General features: G+C 43.6%; 1 protein-coding gene across 7 annotated transcripts in view; it reads left to right on the top strand.

The window, feature by feature from the left end:
• ANKRD29 (ankyrin repeat domain 29) overlaps window positions 1–16628 on the top strand; it is a 63986-nt gene extending 47358 nt beyond the window's left edge. For 4 of the 7 annotated variants that reach the window (XM_011525830.3, NM_173505.4, XM_011525831.4 and 1 more), the window contains 2 exons: window positions 3364–3462; window positions 14245–16628. In XM_011525830.3, the coding sequence (XP_011524132.1) occupies window positions 3364–3462; window positions 14245–14328 (183 nt within the window). In that variant the 3' untranslated portion in view covers window positions 14329–16628. The remainder of the gene's footprint in view (window positions 1–3363; window positions 3463–14244) is intronic. The other 3 variants (XM_017025561.2, NM_001308238.2, XM_047437305.1) reach the window with 1 other exon arrangement.

Genomic DNA, 26972 nt, shown 5'->3' with positions numbered 1-26972 from the left:
ACCTGTAGTCCCAGCTACTTGGGAGGCTGAGGTGGGAGGATGGCTTGAGCCTGGGAAATGAAGCTGTGATCGAGCCACTGCACTGCAGCCTAGGTGACAGAGAAGCTCCTGTCTCAAAAAAAAAATCTTAATTCCTATAAAACTTTATTTATGAACATTGTTATTTGTGGAATTTCATATTTTCACATATTACAAAATATTTTTCGTCTTTTAATCTTTTTAAAATCATTTAAAAATGTAAAAACAGTCTGAGTGCAGTGATTTATCCCTATAATCCAGCACTTTGGGAGGCTGAGGCAGGAAGACTGCTTGAGGCCAGGAGTTAGAGACCAGCCTGGAGAATATAGTAAGACCCTATCTCTACAAAAGTTTAAAAATTAGATGGATGCCATGGTGTGTGGCTGTAGTCCCAGCTGAGGCAGGAGGATTGCTTGAGCCCAGGAGTTCAAGGTTACTGTGAGCTGTGATTGTATCTTTGCACTTCTGCCAGGGCAACGGAGTGAAACCCTGCCTCTGCAAAAATTTTTAAAAGTAGAAGCCGTTCTTAGCTTGCAGGATTTGATTTGCAGGCTGTGGTTTGCTGACCCCTGAGATATAATGCTCCTGTTTTATTACATACAGGACACCAAATCTGTTCTAAATGGACACAGCGGCTTAGCTTTAGGACTGTCCTCTCAGAGTCTATCAATGTATATAAAACCTACTTGCCCTTGAATGACCCCAGACACTTTTTGGATATTTTGTGTCTGCTCTTTATATTTTTAGATTCCATTCTTGCTGACAGTTAATACAGAACTGCTGTTGTCAATGTGTTGGCCTCTCTCCCCTGCCCTAATGAGCTCATGAGCTACTTTCATCTGCCATGAGCTTTTTTTTTTTTTTTTTGGAGACAGGGTCTCGCTATGTTGCCCAGGCTGGTCTTGACCTTTGAACTCCTGGGCTCAAGTGATTCTCTCATCCTCCTGCCTCAGCCTCCTAAAGCGCTGGGATTACAGGTGTGAGCCACTGTGTCTGGCCTGCCATGAGCTTTAGAAGCCAGAAAGCTGCACTTGTTAAAATTGTTTGTAAAGTAAGAATAAACCATCTATGAAAATGAATTCTATGAACAAAAGGAATAAGCTTTAGAAAGCTTGGACTTTGCAAAATATAGTCTTGTTTCAAACAGCTCTTTTTTGGCTTTTTAAAAACTCCTGGTCTGGTGTGGTGGCTCACACCTGTAATCCTAGCTCTTTGGGAGGCCAAGGTGGGCGAATCACCTGAGATTAGGAGTTCAAGACCAGCTTGGCCAATGTGGTGAAACCCCGTCTCTACTAAAAATACAAAAATAAGCCAAGAGTGGTGGTGTACACCTGTAATCCCAGCTACTCAGGAGTTTGAGGCAGGAGAACCTGGGAGGCAGAGGTTGCAATGAGCCGAGATCACGCCACTGCACTCCAGCCCAGGTGACAAGAGCAAAACTCCATCTCCAGAAAAAAGAAAAAAAAGAGGCCAAAAAGCTGCACTTGTTAAAATTGTTTGTAAAGGCCGGGCACACTGGCTCACGCTTGTAATCCCAGCACTTTGGGAGGCAAAGGCGGGTGGATCACCTGAGGTCAGGAGTTCAAGACCAGCCTGGCCAACATGATGAAACCCTGTCTCTACAAAAATACAAAAATTAGCTGGGCGTGGGGGCTCATGCCTGTAATCCCAGCACTTTGGAAGGCCAAGGCAGGAGGATCACGAGGTCAGGAAATCAAGACCATCCTGGCTAACACGGTGAAACCCTGTCTCTACTAAAAATACAAAAAATTAGCCGGGTGTGTGGCGGGCGCCTGTAGTGCCAGCTACTTGGAAGACTGAGGCAGGAGAATGGCGTGAACCCGGGAGGCAGAGCTTGCAGTGAGCCGAGATCACACCACTGCACTCAAGCCTGGGTGACAAAGCAAGACTCCGTATCAAAAAAAAAAAAAAAATTGTAAAGTAAAAATAAACCATCTATGAAAGTGAATTCTATGAATAAAAGGAACAAGCTTTAGAAAGCTTGAACTTTGCAAAATCTAATCTTGTTTCAAATAGCTCTTTTTTGGCTTTTTAAAAACTCCTGGTCAGGCATGGTGGCTCACACCTGTAATCCCAGCCCTTTGGGAGGCTGAGGTGGGCAAAACACCTGAGCTCAGGAGTTGGCGACCAGCCCAGGCAACATGGCGAAACCCTGTCTCTACAAAAAATACAAAAATTAGCAGAGTGGCTGTTACACACCTGTAGTCCCAGCTACTCAGGAGGCTGAGGCACGAGAATCGTTTGAGCCCTGGAGGCAGAGGTTGCAGTGAACTGAGATTGCGCCATTGCACTCCAGCCTGGGAGACAGAGCGAGACACTGTCTCCAAAAAAAAAAAAAAAAAAAAAAAAATTCTGACCCGTGTTGCATGTAGGTGAAGTTGATAGATTGGCTAAGATTTAGACAAGTAAATTGTTACAAGAGTAGTGAATTATCATACATACTTAAAAGCAACCATAGAAAAATGCTACTTTGTGGGAATTTTTCTCTGGGTATGATATTTTACTCTTTTACAAAATCAGAGTGGTTTTTATTATGAGCAACTAATTAGGAAACTAAGTTTGCATTAGGTACTATTTATGGACATATGTACCCTCTAGAACCATGTCTTATGACTGCCCACTGTTCTTAGTTTTGTTATAGTCTCCTCCCCTCCTCTCCGTGGTCCAGCTACATGCTGCATTTAGCTGGTTCCTTATTTTGATAAATATTTGCAGTAAATGTCATAAAACATTAACAACTGACCTATGAGGCCCTTCTGTGCTCAAAAATGCTCCAACTCAAAGCTCCGGGGCATTGCCTCACCCCACATACCCTTCCTCTTAAGCCCTGTAGCTCCACAATCACAGTCCTGCCCACCTGAGTGCTCAGAGTGTCTGTAGCTGGTCTGACAGGTCAGCCCGTTGGCTAAACAGCTCTTCCTCTAACCTCGCTGGAAGTGGCTCAGCAAAACTACAGACTGTACGTGTTGTCCTTACGTGTTGTCCTTGAAGAACAAAAATGTTGGGCACGGCGTTGTTGTTTCTTCTGCAGCAAGTTCCAAAGTATGTAAAACAGACTGAGTGACCATGAAGTCATGTGTCCCCTCAGCCCTATTCCTTATTTCACTTGTAAGAGAACATTAGCAATATTTGTACTGACCATTGGTTATGTATCCAAGGACACTATACTAGGGGCTGATGTGACTTTGAAAAGTACAAGGCAAGATAAGGAAGGTTACGGGTATGAGGTTACAGTCTTATCACCCAGATGGTTTATGATGAAAGCCATGCTGAATGCCAATGGCTGTGAGCTCACTCCTGACACACACTGTCATTTTCTCTTAGAATGGGACATCAGCGCTCCATGCAGCAGTGCTCAGTGGAAACATTAAAACAGTTGCGCTGCTCCTAGAAGCAGGGGCAGACCCATCCCTGAGAAACAAGGTACCCACTAAGCAATCTTTTAACTCGTTTGGGCCCATTGATGTGTCCTCCTAGGCCAGGAAGGATAAACATCTCCCTGGCTCCAGTCACCATCTTCATTCTTTGCATAGTAAGGGCATTCAAGGTTGCTGTTAGTAGGTGATTAGTGAGCAGTACAGTTGGACCCAGGAAATTCTACTGTTAATAAAAACCCTGACTCATATCAATGGTTTTTTTTTTTCTTTTTTAACAAACCCTTGTGTCAAGGGCTGACTTTCAATAGATTTTTGCAGCGAGGGAGGTGCTCTGCTATGTACGAAACCCTGACCCAGAAGCCGGTCATTTACAAATGGTTTAGCACCAGGTTCCCCATGGACGTGCGTTGTGTGATGGGTGAGGGCGCTATCAATGGTTTTCTTTTTTTCTTTGAGAGGGAGTCTCGCTCTGTCACCCAGACTGGAGTGCAGTGGCGTGATCTTGGCTCACTGCAACCTCCACCTCCCAGCTTCAAGCAATTCTTCTGCCTCAGCCTCCTGAGTAGCTGGGATTACCGGCGCAGACCACCATGCCCGGCTAATTTTTTTGTGTTTTAGTAGAGACGGGGTTTCACCATGTTAGCCAGGCTGGTCTTGAACTCCTGACCTCAAGTGATCCACCCACCTCGGCCTCCCAAAGTGCTGGGATTACACACATGAGGCACCACGCCCGGCCAGTGGTTATCAATGAACAGTGGTGCACTCTCCTGGTGGAGGCGAGGAAGAAAGGGAGAGCAGTTACTATGGGAGTATTGTTCTGTCATCTAAGATGTACCCTAAAAATGCCAAAATTCTGGTAGTTTATCACCATTCCCATAAGTTCGATGTTCATATCTTGAAAATTGCTTGTGCTATATTTGGTTGCTTTTGTATTGTTAACAGGAGTACATGCCACTGTTACAAAACAAACCCACTTTTTTCTAGTCCTAAATTCTTCATTTACAATTAGGCCAAACTTCGCGGTGGGTGGGTACACAATAAGAATTTTTTTAAATGATTGTCATTTTACTTCCTCCTCTTCAACATCTGCTTAAGCTGGCACATGTATAGATTGCAGCAGAGGAGAGTAGCCTAGGAAAGGTCTTGAGAGAATGCATGCGCCAGGCGCAAAGGCCCACTCCTGTAAACCCAGCACTTTGGGAGGCTGAGGCAGGTAGATTGCTTGAGCCCAGGAGTTCAAGACCAGCCTGGGCAACATGGCGAAGCCTGTCTCCACAAAAAATACAAAAATTAGCCAGGTGTGGTGGTGTGCACCTGTAGTCCCAACTACTGAGGAGGCTGAGGTGGGAGGATTACCTGAACCCAGCCAAGGAGGTCAAGGGTGCAGTGAGCCATGGTCACGCCACTGCAATCCACCCTGAACGACGGAGTAGAGAGAAAATGCACTAAACTACAACCTTTATTTACTTATTTATTATTTATTTAAATGTAAATTTTTTTCTTTTTATAGAGATGTGTTCTTGCTGTGTTGCCCAGGCTGGTCTTGAACTCCTGGTCTCAAGCAATCCTCCCACCTTGGCCTACCAAAGTGCTGGTATTATAGGCATAAGCCACCACACCTGGCCTAAACTACAAACTTTTCTGTTGCTATTGTTGTTTTTGAGACAGAGTCTCACTCTGTTGACAGGCTGGAGTGCAGTGGCACGATCTCAGCTCACTGCAACCTCCACCTCCCAGGTTCAAGCAATTCTCCTGCCTCAGCCTGCCCAATAGCTGGAACTACAGGTGTGCACCATCATGCCCAGCTAATTTTTTTGTATTTTTAGTAGAGACAGGGTTTTGCCACGTTGACCAGGATGGTCTCCATCTCTTGACCTTGTGATCCGCCCCCCTCGGCCTCCCAAAGTGCTGGGATTACAGGCGTGAGCCACTGCGCCCAGCCATAAACTACAAACTTTTGGAGGAGAAAGTGGTATTGGTGTTTACGAATAGAGGAGGATATGAAAAGCAACTTTTACTTTATACTTAACATACTCTGAATTTTTCTAAGCATATCTTACTGTGTTAAATTTTTTTTTAATAATAAAAACAAAAACATATAACATTTCATGACATTTTGAAAAGAAACCTTAAGAAGTGCCAGTTAAACAACATGCCAGGGGTCACTTTTTTCATTTGACTCAGCATGTAGAAGTATTACTTCCCCATTCCCATTGAATTGCTTGTCTATAACATTTCTGCTTATCTCTCCTTAGATACTTGGATTTGTTTTCCATTAGCTGGCCTGGCTGTGTGATAAGCCAGTTGAAATCACAATTGCCTTTCTTTAGATCTTATCTTTAGACCTTGTGCACAGACTTCCTAAAGAGACCAGTCTTTGTTGGTGAGCTATCCAGTCCTGAATTAAGGCAAGGAGGAAACATTAATACCTTTACATAGGAACTGAAAAATGCAATTCCTTGTGTGTCTCCTAGAATAATGGAATAACTACCAACAATAATGGTTATGAGTAATTTCAAGTGGGCAAAATGCTGGACTTTGGACCCTCCTGAATCCAAGCAAGTGTAACCGCCCAATGGGTTCACCTTGCCTGCTGCCTAGACAGAACCGATGTATCAGGACAGGGGACTTGCAGTGGAGAAAGAGTAATTCACGCAGAGCCAGCTGTGCGGGAGATAGGAGTTTTATTATTACTCAAATCAGTATCTCCGAGCATTTGGGGATCAGAGTTTTTAAAGATAATTTGGCGGATAGGGGCTTGGGAAGTAGGGAGTGCTGATTGGTCAGATTGGAGATGGAATCATAGGGGGTCAAAGTTAGGTTTTCTTAATGTTTTCTGTTTCTAGGTGCGATGGCAGAACTGATTGGGCCAGATTACTGGTCTGGGTGGTGTCGCTGATCCATCAAGTGCAAGGTCTGCAAAATATTTCAAGCACTAATCTTAGGTCTTACAATAGTGATGTTACCCCCGGAGCAAATCGGGGCAGTTCAAACTCTTCGAGCCAGAAGCTGCATGACCCCTAAATTGAATTTTTTTTTTTTTGAAACAGAATTTCTCTCTTGTTGCCCAAGCTGGAGTGCAATGGTGCGATCTCAGCTCACTGCAACCTCCGCCTCCCAGGTTCAAACGATTCTCCTGCCTCAGCCTTCCGAGTAGCTGGGATTACAGGGGCATGCCAGGCTAATTTTTTGTACTTTTAGTAGAAACAGGGTTTCACCAACTTTCACTTTGAGAAACAGGGTTTCCCAAAGTGCTGGGATTACAGGCGTGAGCCACCGCGCCCGGCCCTAAATTGTAATTTCTAATCTTGTAGCTAATTTGTTAGTCCTACAAAGGCAGACTGGTCCCCAGGCAAGAAGGGGGTCTTTTCGGGAAAGGGCTGTTATCAATTTTGTTTCAGAGTCAAACCATGAGCTGAATTCCTTCCCAAAGTTAGTCTGACCTATGCCCAGCAATGAACAAGCACAGCTTAAAGGTTAGAAGCAAGATGGAGTTGGTTAGGTCTGATTTCTTTCACTGTCTTAATTTCCTCAGTTATAATTTTGCAAAGGCGGTTTCACAGGGAGGAAATATTAGTACCTGTATATAGAAACTGAAAAATGCAATTCCTTGTGCATCTCCTAGAATAATGGAATAATCACCAGCAATAATGGTTATAAGTATTTTCCAGTGGGCAGAATGCTAGACTTTGGACCCTCCCTTAAAAATGACTTGAAAACATGTGTGGGCACTCCTGTTGGACCTTCATACTGCAGAAGCCCTCAGACACCTGGGAGGAGCCGCCAGGGAAGTCCCCAGCTTCCTACCAGCCACTCCATAGAAGCCAGTCTTGCTAATAGCAGCTCCATAGGCAAGGGTGTTGGGATTCCTGCAGAAGGAGCATTCTTGGCTTTCATTCTTTCATTCAACAAACACTAGATACCATGCACTGTGCTATGTGCTGGGAATGCCATAGTGAATAAGATTCACAGTTGCTGCTTTCATGAAGCTCAGAGTTTAGTGGGGAATAAAGACAATTAAAGCAATTGCAATATGGAGTGACAGCTGTAAGCAGGGGAGTAAAGAATGGTTTGGAGGCTTCCAGGAGAAAGTGACTTCTCAGCTAGTACAGAACACTCTTCTGCTCCAGGAGTTCCAAGACTTCTGCTCTGGGGCTTCGAGACAGATGCCTGAGGAGAAGGCCAACCAGTGGCCCCAACAGCCATTCCTCACACTATAGCCATTCCTCAGACTGTAGCCATACCCCTGGGTGCAGGGGTCTTATGTTCCCAACACCCTTGACTGAGCACATCTTCTCCCAGGAGCAGTGGGGAGATTTAGTGGTTTAATACTGTAGTATCATGAATATGGGCCTATGCTCCTGCTCCATAATGAACGAGATAGCCTTTAGGGGCTAGCCTGGGGCACTCGCCATCACATCAATCTGTACAATCTCAGCAACCTGAGAATCTAGTGGGGACTAACGGGGAGGGAAGAGCAATTAAACCAGGATTTTAGAACAGCATGGAAGACAGAATGGTGATGTGAATGACCAAAACTTGACAACATGATTTGAAAGTATAAAGCTTTTTTTAATAGCAGAGGATATGGACATTCATGGAGATGGTCACACAAGGCAACACGCTGGCAGGCTGGTAGACAGAGGTAGAGCTTCTTAAGCTCCCTTCTCCTTGACTGTAGAGGTTCCTCTAACTACCTGCCAGTCTGCTTACCATGGACCAGCCACTGATGTAGACAGCTCAGTTATTCCTGAGTGTTTGCTCTGAGACTGGATGAAGCTTAGGTCTGTTTACCAGGAGCATTTCTCTGCAGGCCCAGGTGTTAGGCCTGTACAATATCTGTTCCTGCAGGAACTAAGCTAACAGAACTTGACCCCATAGAGGAGCCTCTGGTCTGTAGTAGCATAGCATAATAATTTCCTCTGTGATTGAATCCAGCATCGGCATCCAGGGTCCCATGTGGTGAGAAGGGGTGCAGCCACAGGACATGCTGCACAGCAGACCACTTGTGACAAACTTACAATTCCTAACAAGTGAGGTTCCAGCCAGCAGATAGAGGTCAGGGGGCAGGATCCAGCTAGAAGATGGGGACTGCAGAAGTTTCACCTAGGATCAAGTTTCCAGATAAAGCAACTGGGGTTCCAGGCTTGGCTGCTGGAGAAGAAAATATGGTGAGACAGGTAACATCTACAACCAAGCCTCCATCCCCGATACTGCCTGCCGCTTTACCCTTTAATGGCCTCCCCTGAAATTCCCAGAACATCCTTCTTTCTTTTTAGAGACAGAGTCTCTGTCACCCAGGCTGGAGTGCAGTGTTGCCATCATAGCTAACTGTAACCTTGAACTCCTGTGCTTAAGTGATACTCCTGCCTCAGCCTCCTGAGTAGCTGAACTATAGGCATGAGCCACCATGCCTGGCCACAAGAAAGTCCTTCTGATTCCTCTATACAAACATTTCTCAAAGTGGGATCCTTGGACCCCTGAAGATCTTCATGACCCATACAGGGGGTCTAAGAAGTCAAAACAAGGTTGGGTGTAGTGGCTCATGCCTGTAATCCCAGCACTTTGGGAGGCAGAGGTGGGAGGATCACTTGAGCCTGGAAGTTCAAGACCAACCTGGGCAATATAGCAAGACCCCCTCTCTACAAAAGAAATAAAAATCTATTTACAATTTTAAAAAAGAATTCAAAACCATATTCTTGATAATAAAAAGATGTTAGCCAGTTGAGGTAGTTCATGCCTGTAATCCCAGCAGTATGGAAGGTTGAGGCAGCAGGATCGCTTGAAGCCAAAAGTTCAAGACCAGCATGGGCCATACAGCAAGACCTCATCTCTTTAAGAAATTAAAAAACAAAAAACATAGCTGGGCATGGTGGTGTGTGCCTGTAGTCCTAACTACTAGGGTGGCTGAGGTGGAAAGATCACTTGAACCCAGGAGTTCAAGGCTGCAGTGAGCTACATGATTGTGCCACTGCACTCCAGCCTTAGCAACAGAGAGAAAACCTGTCCCCTATAAAAGCAAACAAGATCTTATCTGCCTTTTTCACTGTGCTGACATTTGCTCTAATGGTACAAAAGCAAAAGCAATGGTGGGTGAAACTGTTGGGGCCTTAGTACACCTCAAAGCAGGAACACTAAACTGTACTGGCAAAATATTTTACAAGCCTTTGTAAATTATTTTACAAATTTTGTAAATTACTCTACAAAAATACCAGTTGTACTTAAGAATGTCTCTGATGAAGCAGTAAAAATATGTCAATTTTATTAAATTTTGGCTCTTCCTATACATCTTTTTAAAATTTTGTGTAATTGGCTGGGTGCGGTGGCTCATGCCTGTAATCTCAGCACTTTGGGAGGCCGAGGCAGGTGGATCATGTGAGGTCAGGAGTTCGAGACTAGCCTGGCCAACATGGTGAAACCCCGTCTCTACTAAAAATACAAAAATTAGCCAGGCATGGTCGCGCATGCCTGTAATCCCAGCTACTCAGGGGGTTGAGGCAGGAGAATTGCTTGAACCCGGGAGGCGGAGGTTGCAGTGAGCCGAGACCTCACCACTGCACTCCAGCCTGGGTGACGGAGCGAGACTCTGTCTCAAAAAATAATGACAATAATAATAATAATAAAATTCTGTGTGATGGCGGGGCAAAGTGGCCAACACCTATAATCTCAGCACTTCAGGAGGCCTAGGTGGGAAGACTGCTTGAGGCCAGGAGTTTAAGACCAGCCTGGGCAACATAGCAAGACCCTATCTCTCCAGAAAAAAAATAAGCCAGGGATAGTGGCACACACCTGTAGTCCCAGCTTGAGCCCAGAGAGTTTGAGGCTGTCATGAGCTATGATTGCACCACTGCATGCCAGCCTGGGTGACACAGTGAGACCATCTGTCTAAAAAAATAAATAAATAAAACAGAATTCTGGGCCGGGCATGGTGGCTAACACCTGTAATCCCAGCACTTTGGGAGGTTAAGGCGAGTGGATCACCTGAGGTCAGGAGTTCAAAAGCAGCCTGTCCAACATGGCGAAACCCCATCTCTACTAAAAATATAAAAATTAGCCAGGCACAGTGGTGGGCGCCTGTAATCCCAACTACTCAGGAGGCTGAAGCAGGAGAATCACTTGAACCCGGGAGACAGAGGCTGTAGTGAGCAGAGATTGTGCCATTGCACTCCAGCCTGGGCGACAGAATAAGACTCTGTTTCAAAATAAATAAATAAAATAAAATAAAATTCTGTGTGATGAAATGGAAAACATGCCTACAGCACTTCTGCTGTGTACTGAAGTATGATGATTATCTCAAGAAAAAGCACCTGGCCAGGAACGGTGGCTCACGCCTGTAATTCCAGCACTTTGGGAGGCTGAGGCAGGTGGATCATGAGGTCAAGAAATCGAGACCATCCTGGCCAACATGGTGAAACCCCATCTCTACTACAAATACAAAAATTAGCCAGGTGTGGTGGCACGTTCCTGTAGTCCCAGCTACTCGGGAGGCTGAGGCAGGAGAATCGCTTGAACCGGGGAGGCGGAGGTTGCAGTGAGCTGAGATTGCGCCACTGCAGTCCAGCATGGCAACAGATTGAGACTCCATCTCAAAAGGAAAAAAAAAAGCACCTGTTGGGCGGTGAGCAGGCAAAACTGCCCCCAAAAGTCTGAAGAAGCTGAGAAGCCAAGAAAGAAGCTGACATCCAGATGATCTCAGCAGAAAAGAAGAAAAAAATAAAAACAGGCTGACATATCCAGTTTCTCAGAAAGTAACAGGGACAGGAGTCATAGTCTCAGGACACCACCCCCCAGACCCAGGGCCTAAGGGAAGGAATATACAGGACAAGTGAAGTCAACCTCTCAGGGAAAGGCAAGAACACTACGTGACTGCCTAAGGGCAGGACTTATGGGCAAGGTCGTTTTGACCTATGGTCAGGATTTTCAGTAGGAAACACAAAAAAGTAGATAAAATAGGAATCTTAGAGGCATTCCCAAAACTAGGGTTAATCACATGGCAGCCTGAGTGCGGTGGCTCACACCTGTAATCCCAGCAGTTTGGGAGGCCGAGGCAGGCGCATCACTTGAGGTCAGGAGTTCGAGACCAGCCTGGCCAACACGATGAAACCTCATCTCTACTAAAATACAAAAATTAGCTGGGCATGGTGGTGTGCACCTATAATCCCAGCTACTGGGGAGGCTGAGGCAGGAGAATCACTTGAACTCGGGAGGTAGAGGTTGCAGTGAGCCGAGATGGCACCACTGCACTCCAGCCTGGGCAACAGAGTGAGACTCCGTCTTAAAAAAAAAAAAAAGAAGTAAACATGGCAGATTAGCATCCAAGATGGAGTTGCATTAGCCTCCACAGTCCCTGTGCAGTTGTTTGAATTGCAAAGTGAACCTGCCACTTTTTTCATAGATCACTATTTTTACTTGAAAGAACAAGGTATCTACCACTATGACCTTAACAGCTTCCCAAAACTTAAAGGCTTTTCTGATGGATCAGTTTTTTTGTTTGTTTGTTTGTGAGATGGAGTCTCTCTCACTATCACTCAGGCTGGAGTGCAGTGGCGTGATCTCAGCTCACTGCAACCTCCGCCTCCCAGGTTCAAGGGATTCTCCTGCCTCAGCCTCCTGAGTAGCTGGGATTACAGGCATGTGCCACCACGCCCAGCTAATTTTTGTATTTTTAGTGGAGACAGGTTTTTGCCATATTGGCCAGGCTGGTCTTAAACTTGTGACCTCAGGTGATCCACTTGCCTTGGCCTCCCAAAGTGCTGGGATTACAGGCGTGAGCCACCACGCCCAGCCAGAATGTGAGTTTTTGATATTGCACAATGAAATGTGCCAACATTCTACAAACTCAGTGAACTGATATTTTCCAAATGAGCAGTGCATGTTACAAACCATGCATAGGTAAAAGATCCAACTATAAATAGATAAACCTGTGGGTTTTAAAGTTCATTGGTATGGTTTCAAATCCCACATTGCATTTAACCTTTAAGAAACTACCATTTGTTGAGTATTGATGTGGCATCAGAGAATAATATCCACAGCAATCCAAAAAGACTGTTAAAATACTCCTTCCTTTTCCAGCTACATATCTGTGTGAAGCTTAATTTTCTTTATATCCTTCTACCAAAACAGCATATCACAATAGACAGGATACAGATGGAGATATGAGAATCCAATTGTATTCTGTTAAGCTACACATGAAAGAAATATGTAAAGCTGTTGAGCAGTGCTACTCTTCTGAGAATTTTTACTTGTTTTTGAAAATTTAATTTTTCATAACTATATTAACTTGGATTTATTATTTTTAGTGAATTAATAAATATATTTTTAAAATTTTCTCAGTTTTAATTTCTTTTTTTTTTCTTTTTGAAAATATTTTCTTTCTAAATAATAGAGATGAGGTTTCACTATGTTGCCCAGGCTGGTCTCCAACTCCTGAGCTCAAGTGGTCCTCTCACCTCAGCCTCTCAAAGTGCTAGCATTACAGGTGTGAGCCACTGCGCATAGCCCTCAGCTTTCATTTTTAATAAGTTAAAAACAAAATTTGTTAGACTCTTCAGTAATTTTTGAGAGTATAAAGGGTCCTGAAACCAACAGGTTTGAGAGCCACTTCCACATCACACCTGTTGTCAATGGTAGGGACTGGTTCACTAGATGCCTAATGGATGTATCTCAGCAGCAATGTGAAAAGAAAGGCCTTCGAGTGATACTGAGTAAGGTGGAAGGTGTTAGCCACCAATGCTCTTCTTTCCCGGGTGTCTCTTATGCTCTGGAGGTTTCCTATCTCTGCCTTCTCATCAAAAGATATCTGGCCCGGGCGCGGTGGCTCACACCTGTAATCCCAGCACCTTGGGAGGCGGAGGCGGGCGGATCACTTGAGGTCAGGAGTTCAAGACCAGCCTGGCTAAATGGCGAAACCCCATCTCTACTAAAAATACAAAATTCAGCCGAGCATGGTGGCACATGCCTGTAGTCCCAGCCACTCGGGAGGCTGAGGCAGGAGAATTGCTTGAACCCAGGAGGCAGAGATTGCAGTGAGCCGAGGTCACACCACTGCACTCCAGCCTGGGTGACAAAGTGAGACTCCATCTCAAAAAACAAAAAAAAAGACACCTGTGCTGAGTCCTGACTCAGTCCCAAGTCCTTAGTGGGCAGACTACCTCATGTCATACATTAATAAATATAAGGTAGGCTGGGCACGGTGGCTGATGCCTGTAATCCCAACACTTTGGAAGCTGAGGCAGAAGGATCACTTAAACCGAGGAGTTCAAGACCAGCTGGGGCAACATGGCAAACCCCATCTCTGGAAATTAGCCGAGCATAGTGGTGCACATCTGTGGTCCCAGCTACTCGGGAGGCTGAGGTGGGAGGATCATTTGAGCTGGGGAGGTCAACGCTGCAGTGAGCCATGATTGCAACACTGCACTCCAGCCTGGGTGACAGAGCAAGACCCTGTCTCAAAAAATAATAATAATAAAATACATATAAGGTATAACATTTAATTTGACCGGTACTTATTGAGCACATTTTAGACATGCTGGGCATTGTGCTGGAGATAAGGATACAATGATTAATTAGATCTGGACCCTTCCCCCTAAGAGATTACAGTCTAGTAAGGGATCTGGCTGGAAAATGTCTCTAAGAATGAGATAAGGATATAACAAGTAATATTTATACATTTAAAGAAGATTTGTAATACCTTTATATAAAAGAGTGAGTCCAGTGTGGATTTTTTTCATTAGTGAAGGAGAAAGAGTGGGTCAAATGCCCCTCTTTGGAGTCCCTAAAACCACACCAGCTATGGGGATTCACTAATGCCCATCTTCTCTTCTTTCAGGCCAATGAACTTCCGGCAGAACTAACCAAAAATGAACGTATATTGCGTCTCCTGAGAAGTAAAGAAGGTCCCAGAAAGAGCTAACTTAGCTCCATATTTGACAGAAAGATAGAAAGCTTAACCACATTGTCCAAAAAGAAATTGCATTTCAAGCAGTGTTGGAAATTCTTTTATGAAAAAAAAAGATGCCCAGAATGCCCATCCTGTGGGTCCCTGACAAAGAAGAGCTACGCTCTGTGCACGAAGTCAAGAACCAAACAGCTCAGGGACCCTCTTGCCCCTTCACCATGGACTTCTCATGGTGTCCTGTAACTCATCTCCCGGGGGGCCTGGCATGTTCACAGATTCCACAGAAACTCATTTTCAACAATGCTAACTTGGACCTGTCAGTTAAACTCTAAGGTGGACAGGGTTCTCAGTACTAAGCAAGGAGACAGAATGCTTTGTTCCTTTAAAAGACTGAAAAGCTGACCTTCAATGGATTGAGGCACTTTTGCTTTTGTGTTAAATGTAGATGTGCTAAAATATATAGATCTATCATATTTTACCTACATATGTATGTCATTCCAGTATAAAACATTCTCCTCTACCCAAGAACCATAGCCATGATTGTTATAAATCAATGAAGTGTAAACATACATTATTAAAAAACCACTTCTGACATTCCATTATGTGCTATTCAAAGATGGACTATTGAACTATAGAAAAGACAGACTGTGCATTTGTTCGTTGATCCTCATCTTATTCCTGACATGTAAAAATCAATTTTACGTAGAGTCAACATTGTAGGTAGGTTAAAATACCAGTGGCAAATTTGGAAATTCAGAAACTTATAAACCACGAGAAATATATAGGCTTGTCTCTTTGGTCTTTTATTTTGGCTCTATTGTTGGGAATCTATTTCCTATTCTATAAGTAAGTATACCTAACATGCTGTGGAATCTTGAGTTTCCAACACCGTGCTGCTTGATAGAATGACTTTGAGGTCCTTGGATAAAATGTGATATATGCAAGTACAGTATGTTGCTATTACTATTGCAGGAATATAAATAATAAAAGACTGTTATTAGCACTTAGTAAGTCTTCATCTATGCATGTTTTTGAGTTGACTGATTCCAAGAATGAAATATGAGGTTTATTGAATTATTCCTTTGAAAGGGATCAAAACTTATATTCAATGCACTTTATAATTAATGGTGTCTAAATGCCTCAGTCAGTGCCTAACTGCACATACAAAAATAAAACCTTCTTTCTGTAATCTACCAAAATAAACGCAATGGTATTTCTGCTATTTAAACACATCTTTAGCTTATTTCTTCATGTTCTGCTCTGGTTTTCAGTCAGTGTCTATGTAAAGACACTTTTAGAGGAAAATGTTGTAATCCCAAAAGAATTTTTGTTTAACCAACTTTCAGAGTTACTAAAAGGATTATCTTTAATTCAGTAAATAATAGAATATAATCTTCAAAATTAGAAGATATTCTCTTAAAATTTATAACAATTAATGCAACAAAAATCAGCATATTTTGATAAATGTCTCAAGCAAATGAGCAACTCACAGGCCCCACAGGTGCCTACAGCCTGACCAGCTATACAAAAAGCCTGCAACCTGATTCTAGGATAAAATATTAGAAAGCTCTCTGTTGCTAAAACATCCAGATATAAACATTTTGGTGGCTAAAATCAATGCCATTTCCTCATTGACATTCTTTTATTCAGCAAATTTGTACAAATATACATTTTCTCCTGTGCGAATTTCAAAAAGCTATATTCATTTTGAAGAGGAAAATAATATGGCATTAAATGCTTTGTATTTTCCCCTTAGTTAGCCCTTATGGCAAAAATAGTTGCTAATCACTGATACAAAGCAAAACGTTATGGGTACTGATAACAAAGTTCCAAAAGCCAAAATGGGATGAATCACAAACTTACTGTTTTTCACTAAAACATGTAATTGGCCTATTACATCAATAGTTTTAAGTGGGTAATGTTCTTGAACAATATTAGAGCCATAAAATTGAAGCCAGTAGCTTGAACAATATGGAGGCCTTCTTACTGTAGGGAAGAGGTGTCTAGCTTAGAAGGATCACATTTGATCTAGATGAGATTACCCATAGCAGGGAAAATGAATCATCACCTACCAAAGACTGTACGGAAAGGTGTGTTATTTTCAAAATTGCATTTTAGTTTGCACACATGTAAATGATTATTCTATGTTAATCTAATTGACAATTCAGTTAGCTCCGCATCCTAAGACTTAAAACTAGCAATTCCTATGCAAATCATCTGCTTAACTGAACTACAAACGTTTTTCATTAATTCATTCTTTGATGACATATTCCATGTTATATAATAATTCAAAATAAAGTTAATATACTACCCCATTTGCCTTTGCTGCTTTTTTCTTTTTGTTTTTAATCAAGAGTTATTGCTATGTGATTTTTAGTAGCATGGAATTTTAGGGTGAATAATTCAACTCTGTAAATATATTGATATTTGGGACCCTAAATAGATATTTAAACTTTATTTTAGTAATGGACCTATGATTTCATTATCTCTGCTGTAGAGAATGAAATGATTCCAAAAAGTTTTCATTCAGAAAAGAATTCTTGGGACAGTTATTTAAGATGCTGAAAATAGAAAATTTTCTGATTTGTATTATTTATGATGCTCCTGGCCCTTTAGTCCTTTGCAATAACTTTCTCTTGTGAAGTAGCTGGTGGTTTTGCAGAACTGTTGGTGTAGGAGACAATAATTTGCAGCAGTAACATCAGGAATATGGAGATTTACAGGAACATCCTGGCTTCCATCTGCTCCATCCACCCTCTGCCGCCACAAGAAAGCTACGTCTCTTCATAAATCCCACACTGAGACACCTACTCAGAGGAAAAGAGTGCCCCCAAATACCAGGCTACTTAGAACCAGGCAGAGATGCCTGTATTTTGGTGGGGGGCTACAGATTATAGGGGTGAGAAGCTGAGTTCCTAATTTCCTAACAAAGTGCTTTTGGTGCTAGAACTGGATGTTTCAGAGGTAGTGGCCAGGTGAGGAGTCCCGGTGGCTCACGCCTGTAAACCCAGCACTTTCGGAGGCCAAGGCGAGGTGGATCACTTGAGTTCAGGAGATCAAGACCAGCCTAGGCAACATAGTGAGACGCCCATCTCTCTAAAAATAAAAAAATTAGCCGGACATGGTGGTGGTTCACACCTGCAGTCCCAGCTACTTGGGAGACTGAGGTGGGAGGATGGCTTGAGTCCAGGAGGTTGAGGCTGCAATGGTACACTCCAGCCTGGGTGATAGAGTGAGACCCTGTCTCAAAATAAGTAAATCAATAAAAATAAAAGCAGCAACTAAAATTTGTTAAAGGATTGTTACGTGCTAAGCACTTTAGATAGATAATCTTATAAAGTGTTACGCATTTTTTTCATTTACACCTGACAACAACCCTATGAAATAAACACTATTACCATCCCCATCTTACAGTTGAGGTAACTGGCTTTGAAAGACAGTCTACCTTGTAGTGGTGTCTTGGTGCTGTCCTCCAATCTTGGGAATTTTACTTTTGCTTTCTGGGGGAAGGTGGAGGAGGCAGTGGTGCCCAGATGGAGTCACAATTGTAGCATCAGAGCAGTGAAGGTGGAGAATATGGGACATGTTTTTGAAAATACTTGCAGGTAGAGTTAATGATAATTGGTGACAATTAAATATAGAGGATGAAGAAAAGAAAGGAGAGCTAAGAATTGTGCTAAAGTGTGTTAGGCATTCCCAAGATCATCCCCAGGTGTAGTGACTTGCTAGGAAGACATAGGACTCATATATCTAGTTTACTCATAAATATACTCATATACATGGTTACATATACATGTATACTCAAATACATGGTTAAGATTACAGCAAAAAGACACATAGCAAAATCAGCAAAGACAAAAGGAAAATAGAGCAAAGATAGAAGACAGCAGGTGCAAGCTTCTGAGAAACCTCTCCCACAGAATGAGCTTAATTCCTCCAGCAACCGAGTTGTGGCAGCAAGTGTTGTCTACCAAGGAAACTCATTGAAGACTTAGTGCTCAGGGTTTCAACCGGGAGCTGGTCACATAGATCCCTTCTGCCTAGCATTTACCAAAAATCAAGACCTCCAGAAGGAAAACAGGCATTCAGTATAAACCACATTGTTTGCACAAACAGTTAAGGCAAAGTGAATACTTCTTATCATTTAGGGCAAGTTTGATATCAGTGTAGGGAACTGTTTGTCAGCTGAGGGCCAACCTTGTAAGCAGGACTTCCTAAGGATAGGCAGTCTTGGGCTGGCTTTGTTAATTCTTCTTGGCCCACAAAGTTTACAAGGTGGATGAGCCAATAACTTTGTTAGGCAATAGGGAAGAATAGCAGATTTGGGGTGAGGAGATAGAGTTTGGACATGTTCACTTGGAAGGATCTGTGAAATAGATTCTAGAAGGCAGTTGGAAATAACAAATTAATGTTTAGGACAAGGCTGTTGTTACTAGTGTAGGCATCATCTGCATAGAGGTGATGGTCAAAGTCATGGGATGAATGAGGTCCCCACGGAGAATCTGCTGAGAATAAAAGAGATGGCAAAATGGCTGGGCATAGTGGCTACTGTCTGAAGGGAGGCTGAGGCGGGAGGATTACTTGAGCCCAGGAATTGAAGACCAGCCTGGGCAACATAGCAAGGCCCTGCCTCTAAATTTAATACATTTTTTTTTAAACAGATGGCAAACTGAGAATAAACTTTGAAAGAAGGGAACTCAGCAAAGAGAATGAAACAATGAACAAGAGCAGGAAGTGAAACATAATGAGGAAGGAGAAGGTCTCCAGGAGAGGAGAGCAGGCAGCGAACCACGTGAAGAAGTGTGGCCATATGACACAAAGGCTGGGAAACTCGAGGCTGCTTTTGCTCCACCACTCTGTCTTTGATGAGCTTGTTCAGTCATCAAAGAATTCTGGCCTTGTGGCTGGGCGTGGTGGCTCTTGCCTGTAATCCCAGCAGTTTGGGAGGCCGAGGAGGGTGGATCACGAGGTCAGGAGTTCCAAGACCAGCCTGGTCAAGATGTTGAAACCCCATCTCTACTAAAACTACAAAAATTAGCCGGGCACAGGGGCAGGTACCTGTAATCCCAGCTACTCGGGAGGCTGAGGCAGGAGAATCGCTTGAACCCGGGAGGCAGAGGTTGCAGTGGGCCGAGATCGTGCCACTGCACTCCAGCCTGGGCTACAGAGTGAGACTCCATCTAAAAAAAAAAAGAAAAAAAAAAGAATTCTGGCCTTGTAATGGAGATTATGGATAAGGATTGGTGAGTGGACCTGGAGCTAACGTTAAATTAAATAAAATTATTCCCTTGAAATGATTCTACTCCTCACTGGATAGAATTGTATTTGTGAAGATACTCCTGATGCTTTCTAGGAATCACCGGCCAACTATCAGTGTGCATTGCCTCTGCTCTGTACTAAGACTAAGGCAACATGAAAAAAACAGACTTGGTACCACCCTATAGAGATGCAAATAGGCGTGGTGCAATGCAAACAGGCCTGGTCAAATGAGATAATTTATGGTTGCGGATCTATACCTATGCTGGTTGATTGGTTTTAATTGGTGATTTTTTTTTTTTTTGAGACAGGGTCCTGGTCTGTCACCCAAGATGGAGTGTAATGGCACGATCTCAACTCACTGCAACCTCTGCATCCTGGGTTCGAACGATCCTCCTTCCTCAGCCTACCAAGTAGCTGGGACTACAGGCACGCACCACCATGCCTGGCTAACTTTCGTATTTTGGTAAAGCTGGAGTTTCGCCATGTTGCCCAGGCTGGCCTCCAAATCTTGGACTCAAGCGATCTGCCTGCCTTGGCCTCTCAAAGTGCTAGGATTACAGGCATGAGCCACCTTGCCCAGCCAAATTGGTGAACTTCATCTCACTGTGAAAAGATGCTAAAGTGCTTAGAACATGCCTGGCTGTGAACAAAGCCACACCATGTTATGATATTTCATGCCATTGAGCCATAGCAGCTCAGACCCTAGTATTTGTACTTCAAAGCATGGAGAAAAACAAAAACAAAAAATGACAGGCAAAACTAGCATTAGACATTCTAGTCGAGAAATGTGAAAATAATTATTCTTCTGCTTAATGTAATGAACACATGGAGGGTAAACTAGTCACACAGAGGTGTTTTCTCTGGGCCCTCTGACTATACTTAGCCCTCAGTTAAATAACCTATGTATCACTGGGTCTGGAAAGTCTTCGATTCTTTTCCTGGTGACCTAATCCTTATTTTTAGCAATACTTTCAGGTAATTTTAAAATATGAGTGAGGCTAGGCATGGTGGCTCATGCTTCTAATCCCAGCACTTTGGGAGGCTGGGGTGGGAAAAGCACTTGAGCCCAAGAGTTTGAGACTAGCCTGGGCAACAAAGTGAGACTCCGTCTGTACAAAAAATACAAAAAATTAGCCTGGCATGGTGGTGTGTGCCAGAAGTCCCAGCTACTCAGGAGGCTAAGGTAGGAGGATCACTTGAGCCTTGGGAGGTCGAGCTGTGATCTCACTACTGCACTCCAGCCTGGGTAATAGAGCAATTCCCTCTCTCTCAAAAAAAAAATTAATTTATTAATATGAATGAGGTTATGTTTCAACAAAGGAATTCAGCTAGGCACAGTGGCTCACATCTATAATCCCAGCACTTTGGGAGGCCAAGGCGGGCAGATCACTTGAGGCCAGGAGGTCGAGACCAGCCTGGCCAACATGCCGAAACCCTGTCCCTACTAAAACTTAATAAATTAGCCAGGTGTGGTGGTGGGCGCCCATAATCCCAGCTACTCAGGAGGCTGAGGCAGGAAAATCACTTGAACCCAGGAGGCGGAGGTTGCAGTGAGCCAAGATCGCACCACTGAACTCCAGCCTGGGCGACAGAGTGTGACTCCATCTCAAAAAGTAAAAATAAAATAAAGTAAAATAAAAATAACATAAAGGAAGTTAATTAAAGATCTTCAGTTCTTAGGTGACATGTCAGCCTTATCTCTGTCAACAGAAAAAATTCCTTCCGCTATCTTTGGTTCTTCTTCCCTCCCTCACTAGGATTGAATCCTCCGAGCTTTAATGAGTGAAATGCTGTTGTTATTCCTACATTTCAAGTTTTAAGAATAGTCTTAGAAAGTCTTCAGTTTACAGGAGTTGGACTCTCCATTTTAGGAAACATTTGATCAAAAACCACCCCTGGCAAAGGAAACTATGTCCTGTGAGCAAATCCTGCAGGGAAGGCAATGCCAGTTTGAAACCCTGACTGCTAAACCACAAGTCATTCCAACTCTGGTAGCATCCTAACTGAGTGGAAGTTACACCACAACCCATGACTGGATTAATCACCAACTCAAACATCCTTCCTTACTAGGATGAGTAACATTTTACCAGAATTCTGAGCAACAATGCCCATTTCCGAGTAGGTCATAACCATTGGTACTAAAGTCATGAGTTGTAGCTGTAAGCTATTTTAAATGAAGATGTCTATAAAATTTGGCTTGCGTAAGTAAAGAGTTTAAAAAGTCTATCACAGAACCCAAAGTAATTGAGTGTGTATACTGAACACATGACCTGTACAACAGTGCTCACAGCACCTTTATTTGTAACAGCCCAAACTGGAAGAAGAAACAACCCAGATGTCTGCCATGATATGTTTGAGCCATGGAATACTACACAGCAATTCTTTTAAAAGATGCTACCACCACAAGTAATGTGGATGAGCCACACACATAATGTTCAGTGAAAGAAACCAGACGCAGAGGAGTATGATTCCCTTTACATGAAGTTCAAGGACAGGCAAAACCAACTTACAGTGAGAGAAATCAGAAGAGTGGTTGCCTCCCGGTTAAAGGAGGGGTGATGATATCGACTGGGAAAGGGGCATAAAGGAGGCTTCTGAAGTGCTAAAGTTTCCATATCCTTCCTCTGGGTGTTGGCTACATGGATGTTGTGGTTGCCAGCCTCCAAGATGGCCCCAGTGCTCCCCTCCTCTTGTCCTTGTCTGGTCCCCTTCCTACACTGCATCAGGACTGGTCTGTGTGCCCAGTATTACATGGCAGAAGTGATGGCATATAACATTTGAGGCTAACTCATAACAGACATTATGGCTCTGCCTTGCTCTCAATCCCTTTTGGATCACTCCTTCTGGAGGAAGCCAGCTGCCAAGTCCTGAGGACACTCAGCAGCCTATGGAGAGGAGGAACTGAGGCCTCCTTCCCACAGCATCTTTTTTTTTTTTTTTTTTGAGACAGAGTCTTGCTCAGTCACCCAGGCAGGAGTGCAGTGGCATGATCTCAGCTCACTGGAACCTCGGCCTCCTGGGTTCAAGCAATTCACCTGCCTCAGCCTCCCGAGTAGTTGAGATTACAGACATGTGCAACCATGCCCGGCTAATTTTTGTATTTTTAGTGGAGACAGGGTTTCACCATGTTGGCCAGGCTGGTCTCGAACTCCTGACCTCAAGTGATCCGCCCACCTTGGCCTCCCAAAGTGCTGGGATTACAGGTGTGAGCCACCGAGCCCAGCTTCCCACAGCATCTTCAACAGCAGATCCTCCAGCCCCAGTCAAGCCTTCAGATGATGGTAGCCTGGGCCAACTTCTTGGCCATAACCTCAGGAGAGACCCTGAGCCAGAACCACCTAGAACCACCCAAATCCCTGACTGGCAGAAACTGGGATAAAATAAATGTTTGTTCATTTAATATACTAAGTTTTGGAGTAATTTGTTATTCAGTAATAGACAACTAATAAAAGTGTTTAACACATAAAAGAAACTTGGCTGGGCGCAGTGGCTCATGCCTGTAATCCCAGATCTTTGGGAGGCCAAGGCAGGTGGATCACTTGAGTCCAGGAGTTTGAGACCACCCTGGGCAACATGGCGAAACCCCGTCTTTACTAAAAATACACAAATTAGCCAGGCATGGTGGAGTGTGCCTATGATCCCAGCTACTTGGGATGCTGAAGCACAAGAATCACTTGAACCCAGGAGGCAGAGTTTACAGTGAGCCAAGATCACACCACTGCACTCTAGCCTGGGTGACACAGTGAGACTCAGTCTCAAAAAAAAAAAGTAGAAAACTCATCAAGCTGTACAGCTAAGTTCTGTATACCTCATATATGAATATTATATCTTAATTAAAAGGAAAAGTCTATTAACAAAAAGAGTTCTCAAAAATGCTCAACCTGAACCTCCTTAGGGGGTTGGCAGAAGCATTAACTAAAGCTCTCCTATATTTCACCAAAATGTGTTGGCAATTCGTAGCCTGCTGGAGGAAGGGAGGTGTGAGCTGTTCCCTGTGTTCAGCTGGACAGCCTCCCACTCTCTATAGGCGCTTCTTTTAGAGCCAGCTCCACTGCTGGTCCTGGAGGTTTTTTGGGGAAGGCGATCAAAAAATTTACAATGTCCATGACTACTATAGGGAATAGTTCTACGATGCTGGCTGCGAAAACCAGATCAACTTATTAGGCACAGTAGACACAGTGATAATTTTACTGTCCCATGAAAATGTTTTAATTTTAATTTCTTTTGAAATCAGAACAAAAATAAGAATACTGTAATAATGAGCATATAATAATGAATTCAGCCAGCGTTATATGTGTCTTTATAATGCAATTGGAAACTCTCATTTTAAATTTTTTTTTTTGAAGGAAAAAGGGGTCCTTAAAGGCAAAGGTGCCTGGGGCCCACACAAGTCATAATGCAGCCCTGAGTAAAAGGAAAGGTGCTAGGGACTGAATTGTGCTCCCCCAAATGTCTTGTGTTGAAGCCCTAACCCCCCAAGGTGACTGTATTTGAAGATAAGGCTTTTAGGAGGTAATTAAGGTTAAATAAAGTCATAAGGGAGGGGCCTTAATTCAATAGGATTGTTGAAGAAGAGGAAGAGAGAGAGAAATCTTTCTCCCTGAAAGCACACACTTAAGGAAACACCATCTGGGGACACAGGGAGAAGGTGCTGTCTACAAGCCAGGAAGAGAGCCCTCACCAGGAACCAAATAAGCTCCCCATGCTGATCTTGAACTCTCTAACCTCTAGAACTGTAACAGATAAATTCCTATTGTTTAAGTCACACCAGTCTTTGGTATTTTGTGCAATGGCCTCAGACGTCACTAAATGACATTGATTACATTCTATTACCCCAAAACCCTAGTTCTATCTTCATTTTCTGTTATTGAACTTTAGGCTTCAGGTTAGGAACTAGGCAAGCTTGCAATTTGTTAGGTAAGTAGGCATTCTTTTTTTCTCTGCCTATTTGAAGGACTACCTACTTTGAAGGTTGCAGATCAGCAGCAGAAAAAAATTTTTTAAAAAGCTTTTTAAAAAAATTTTAGAAGAAATCAAAGGTTTTTTTGGTAATAAAATTTTATTGGCTTGGCATGGTGGTTCATACCTATTATCCAGCACTTTGGAGGCTGAGGCAGGAGGATCACTTTAGCCAGGGAGGTCAAGGCTGCAGTGAGCTGTGATCATGCCACTAGACTACAACCTGGGTGACACAGTGAGACTCTGTCTCAAAAGAAAAAAGAAAAAAGCACAGAAAAATAAATAAAATTACTTATAAATGTGTGAAAAGATTTTTAATCTCACTTATAATTAAAGAAATACAAATCAAAGCATCCTAATTTTATTTTATTTATTTTTTTTTTTGAGACGGAGTCTTGCTCTGTCGCCCAGGCTGGAGTGCAATGGCGTGATCTCGGCCACTGAAACCTCCACCTCCTGGGTTCAAACAATTCTCCTGCCTCAGCCTCTTGAGTAGCTAGGATTACAGGTGTGTGCCACCACGCCCAGCTAATTTTTTTTTTTTTTTTTGAGACGGAGTCTCGCTCTGTAGCCAGGCTGCAGTGCGGTGGGGCGACCTCGGCTCACTGCAACCTCCAACTCCCTGGTTCAAGTGATTATCTCACCTCAGCCTCCCGACTAGCTGGGATTACAGGCATGCACCACCACCCCCGGCTAATTTTTGTATTTTTAGTAGAGACGGGGTTTCACTATGTTGGCTAGGATGGTCTCGATCTCCTGACCTCATGATCCACCCACCTCAGCCTCCCAAAGTGCTGAGATTACAGGTGTGAGCCATCACGCCCAGCCTAATTTCTTGTTGCCCAGACTGCAGTGCAATGGCGCAATCTCAGCTCCCTGCAACCTCCGCCTCCCAGGTTCAAGAGATTCTCCTGCCTCAGCCTCCTGAGTAGCTGGAATTACAGGCATCCACCACCATGCCTGGCTAATTTTTTGTATTTTTAGTAGAGATGGAGTTTCACCATGTTGGCCAGGCTGGTCTTGAACTCCTGACCTCAGGTGATCCACTTGCCTCGGCTCCCAGAGTGCTGGAATTGCAGGCATGAACCACCGCGCCTGGCCAATTTTTGTATTTTTAATTGAGACGGAGTTTCAGCATGTTGGCCAGGCTGGTCTCGAACTCCTGACCTCAGGTGATCCACCTGCCCCGGCTTCCCAAACTGCTGAAATAATAGGCGTGAGCCACCGTGCCCAGCCCCAATATTTTTTAAAATAAGAAACAAAATAAATAAAATCACAGATTGCATTTAGGTACTTCCATACATTGCTGGCTGCAATTTCTTTGGAGGGCAATTTGACAACAATCAAAACTTAAATACCCATTTCCTTTGATCCAACAATATAAAAGTATTTCCAACAGTTCTATTTGCGCATGATTGCAAAGATTTACATCCAAGAATGGGCCAGGAGTGGTGGCTCACGCCTGTAATCCCAGCACTTTAGGAGGCTGAGGCAGGCAGATTGCTTGAGCCCAGCAGTTCAAGACCAATCTGGGCAACATGGTGAAACCCCGTCTCTACAAAAAATACAAAAATTAGCCAGGAGTGGTGGTGCACAGGTGGGAGGATCGCTTGAGCCCAGGAGGTAGAGGCTGCAGCGAGCCATGATCATGCCACTGCACGCCAGACTTGGCAACAGAGTGAGACTCTGTCCCAGAAAAAAACATTTTTAAAAGATACAAGGATGTTCATTGCATCATTTCCAGTAACAAGTGACAAGCTAAATGCCCAAGAAGAGACTGATTAAATAAGTTACATAGTGGATCAAAAATTATTAACGTAAGTATTTCTAGCCTTCCCCTACCATCTGCCAGCTACAGATAATTTAGTCTTGGGTCAACTTTCTCCTCTCCCTCTACAAGGGAAATGTTCAAAAGTGTTTAGACTTTGGTGATGCAGCATGATTGGGAAAGCAGAGGGCACAGAAAGATGCCAGGCTTTGTGGTCTCCAGGCAAGCTCAGGAATGTGACAAAGCATACCGAAAAGAAAAGCGGGCTGGGAGCAGTGGCTCACGCCTGTAATCCCAGCGCTTCAGGAGTCTGAGGCTGGTGGATTGCTGGAGGCCAAGAGTTAAAGACCAGCCAGGCCAACATGGTGAAACCCCATCTCTAATGAAATCCAAAAAAAAATTAGCTGGGCGTGGTAGCGCACACCTGTAATCCCAGCTACTCGGGAAGCTGAGGCATGAGAATCTTTGGAGCCGGGGATGTGGAGGTTGCAGTGAGCTGAGATCATGTCACTGCACTCCAGCCTGGGAGACAGAGCAAGACTCTGTCTCAAAAAAGAAAAAAGGAAAAGGAAAGATAAATTTATAATGTATTGCCAGGACCACACAAACCCTTCATATGTACCAGGAATGCAAGTAGAGGAATTGAGTTATTTTGAAATACTTGTTGGCTGGT

The sequence above is a fragment of the Homo sapiens genome, chromosome 18 (genome assembly GCF_000001405.40).
Source record: "Homo sapiens chromosome 18, GRCh38.p14 Primary Assembly".
Taxonomy (NCBI): Eukaryota; Metazoa; Chordata; class Mammalia; order Primates; family Hominidae; genus Homo; species Homo sapiens.
This window is presented reverse-complemented; position numbering and strand designations above follow the sequence as displayed.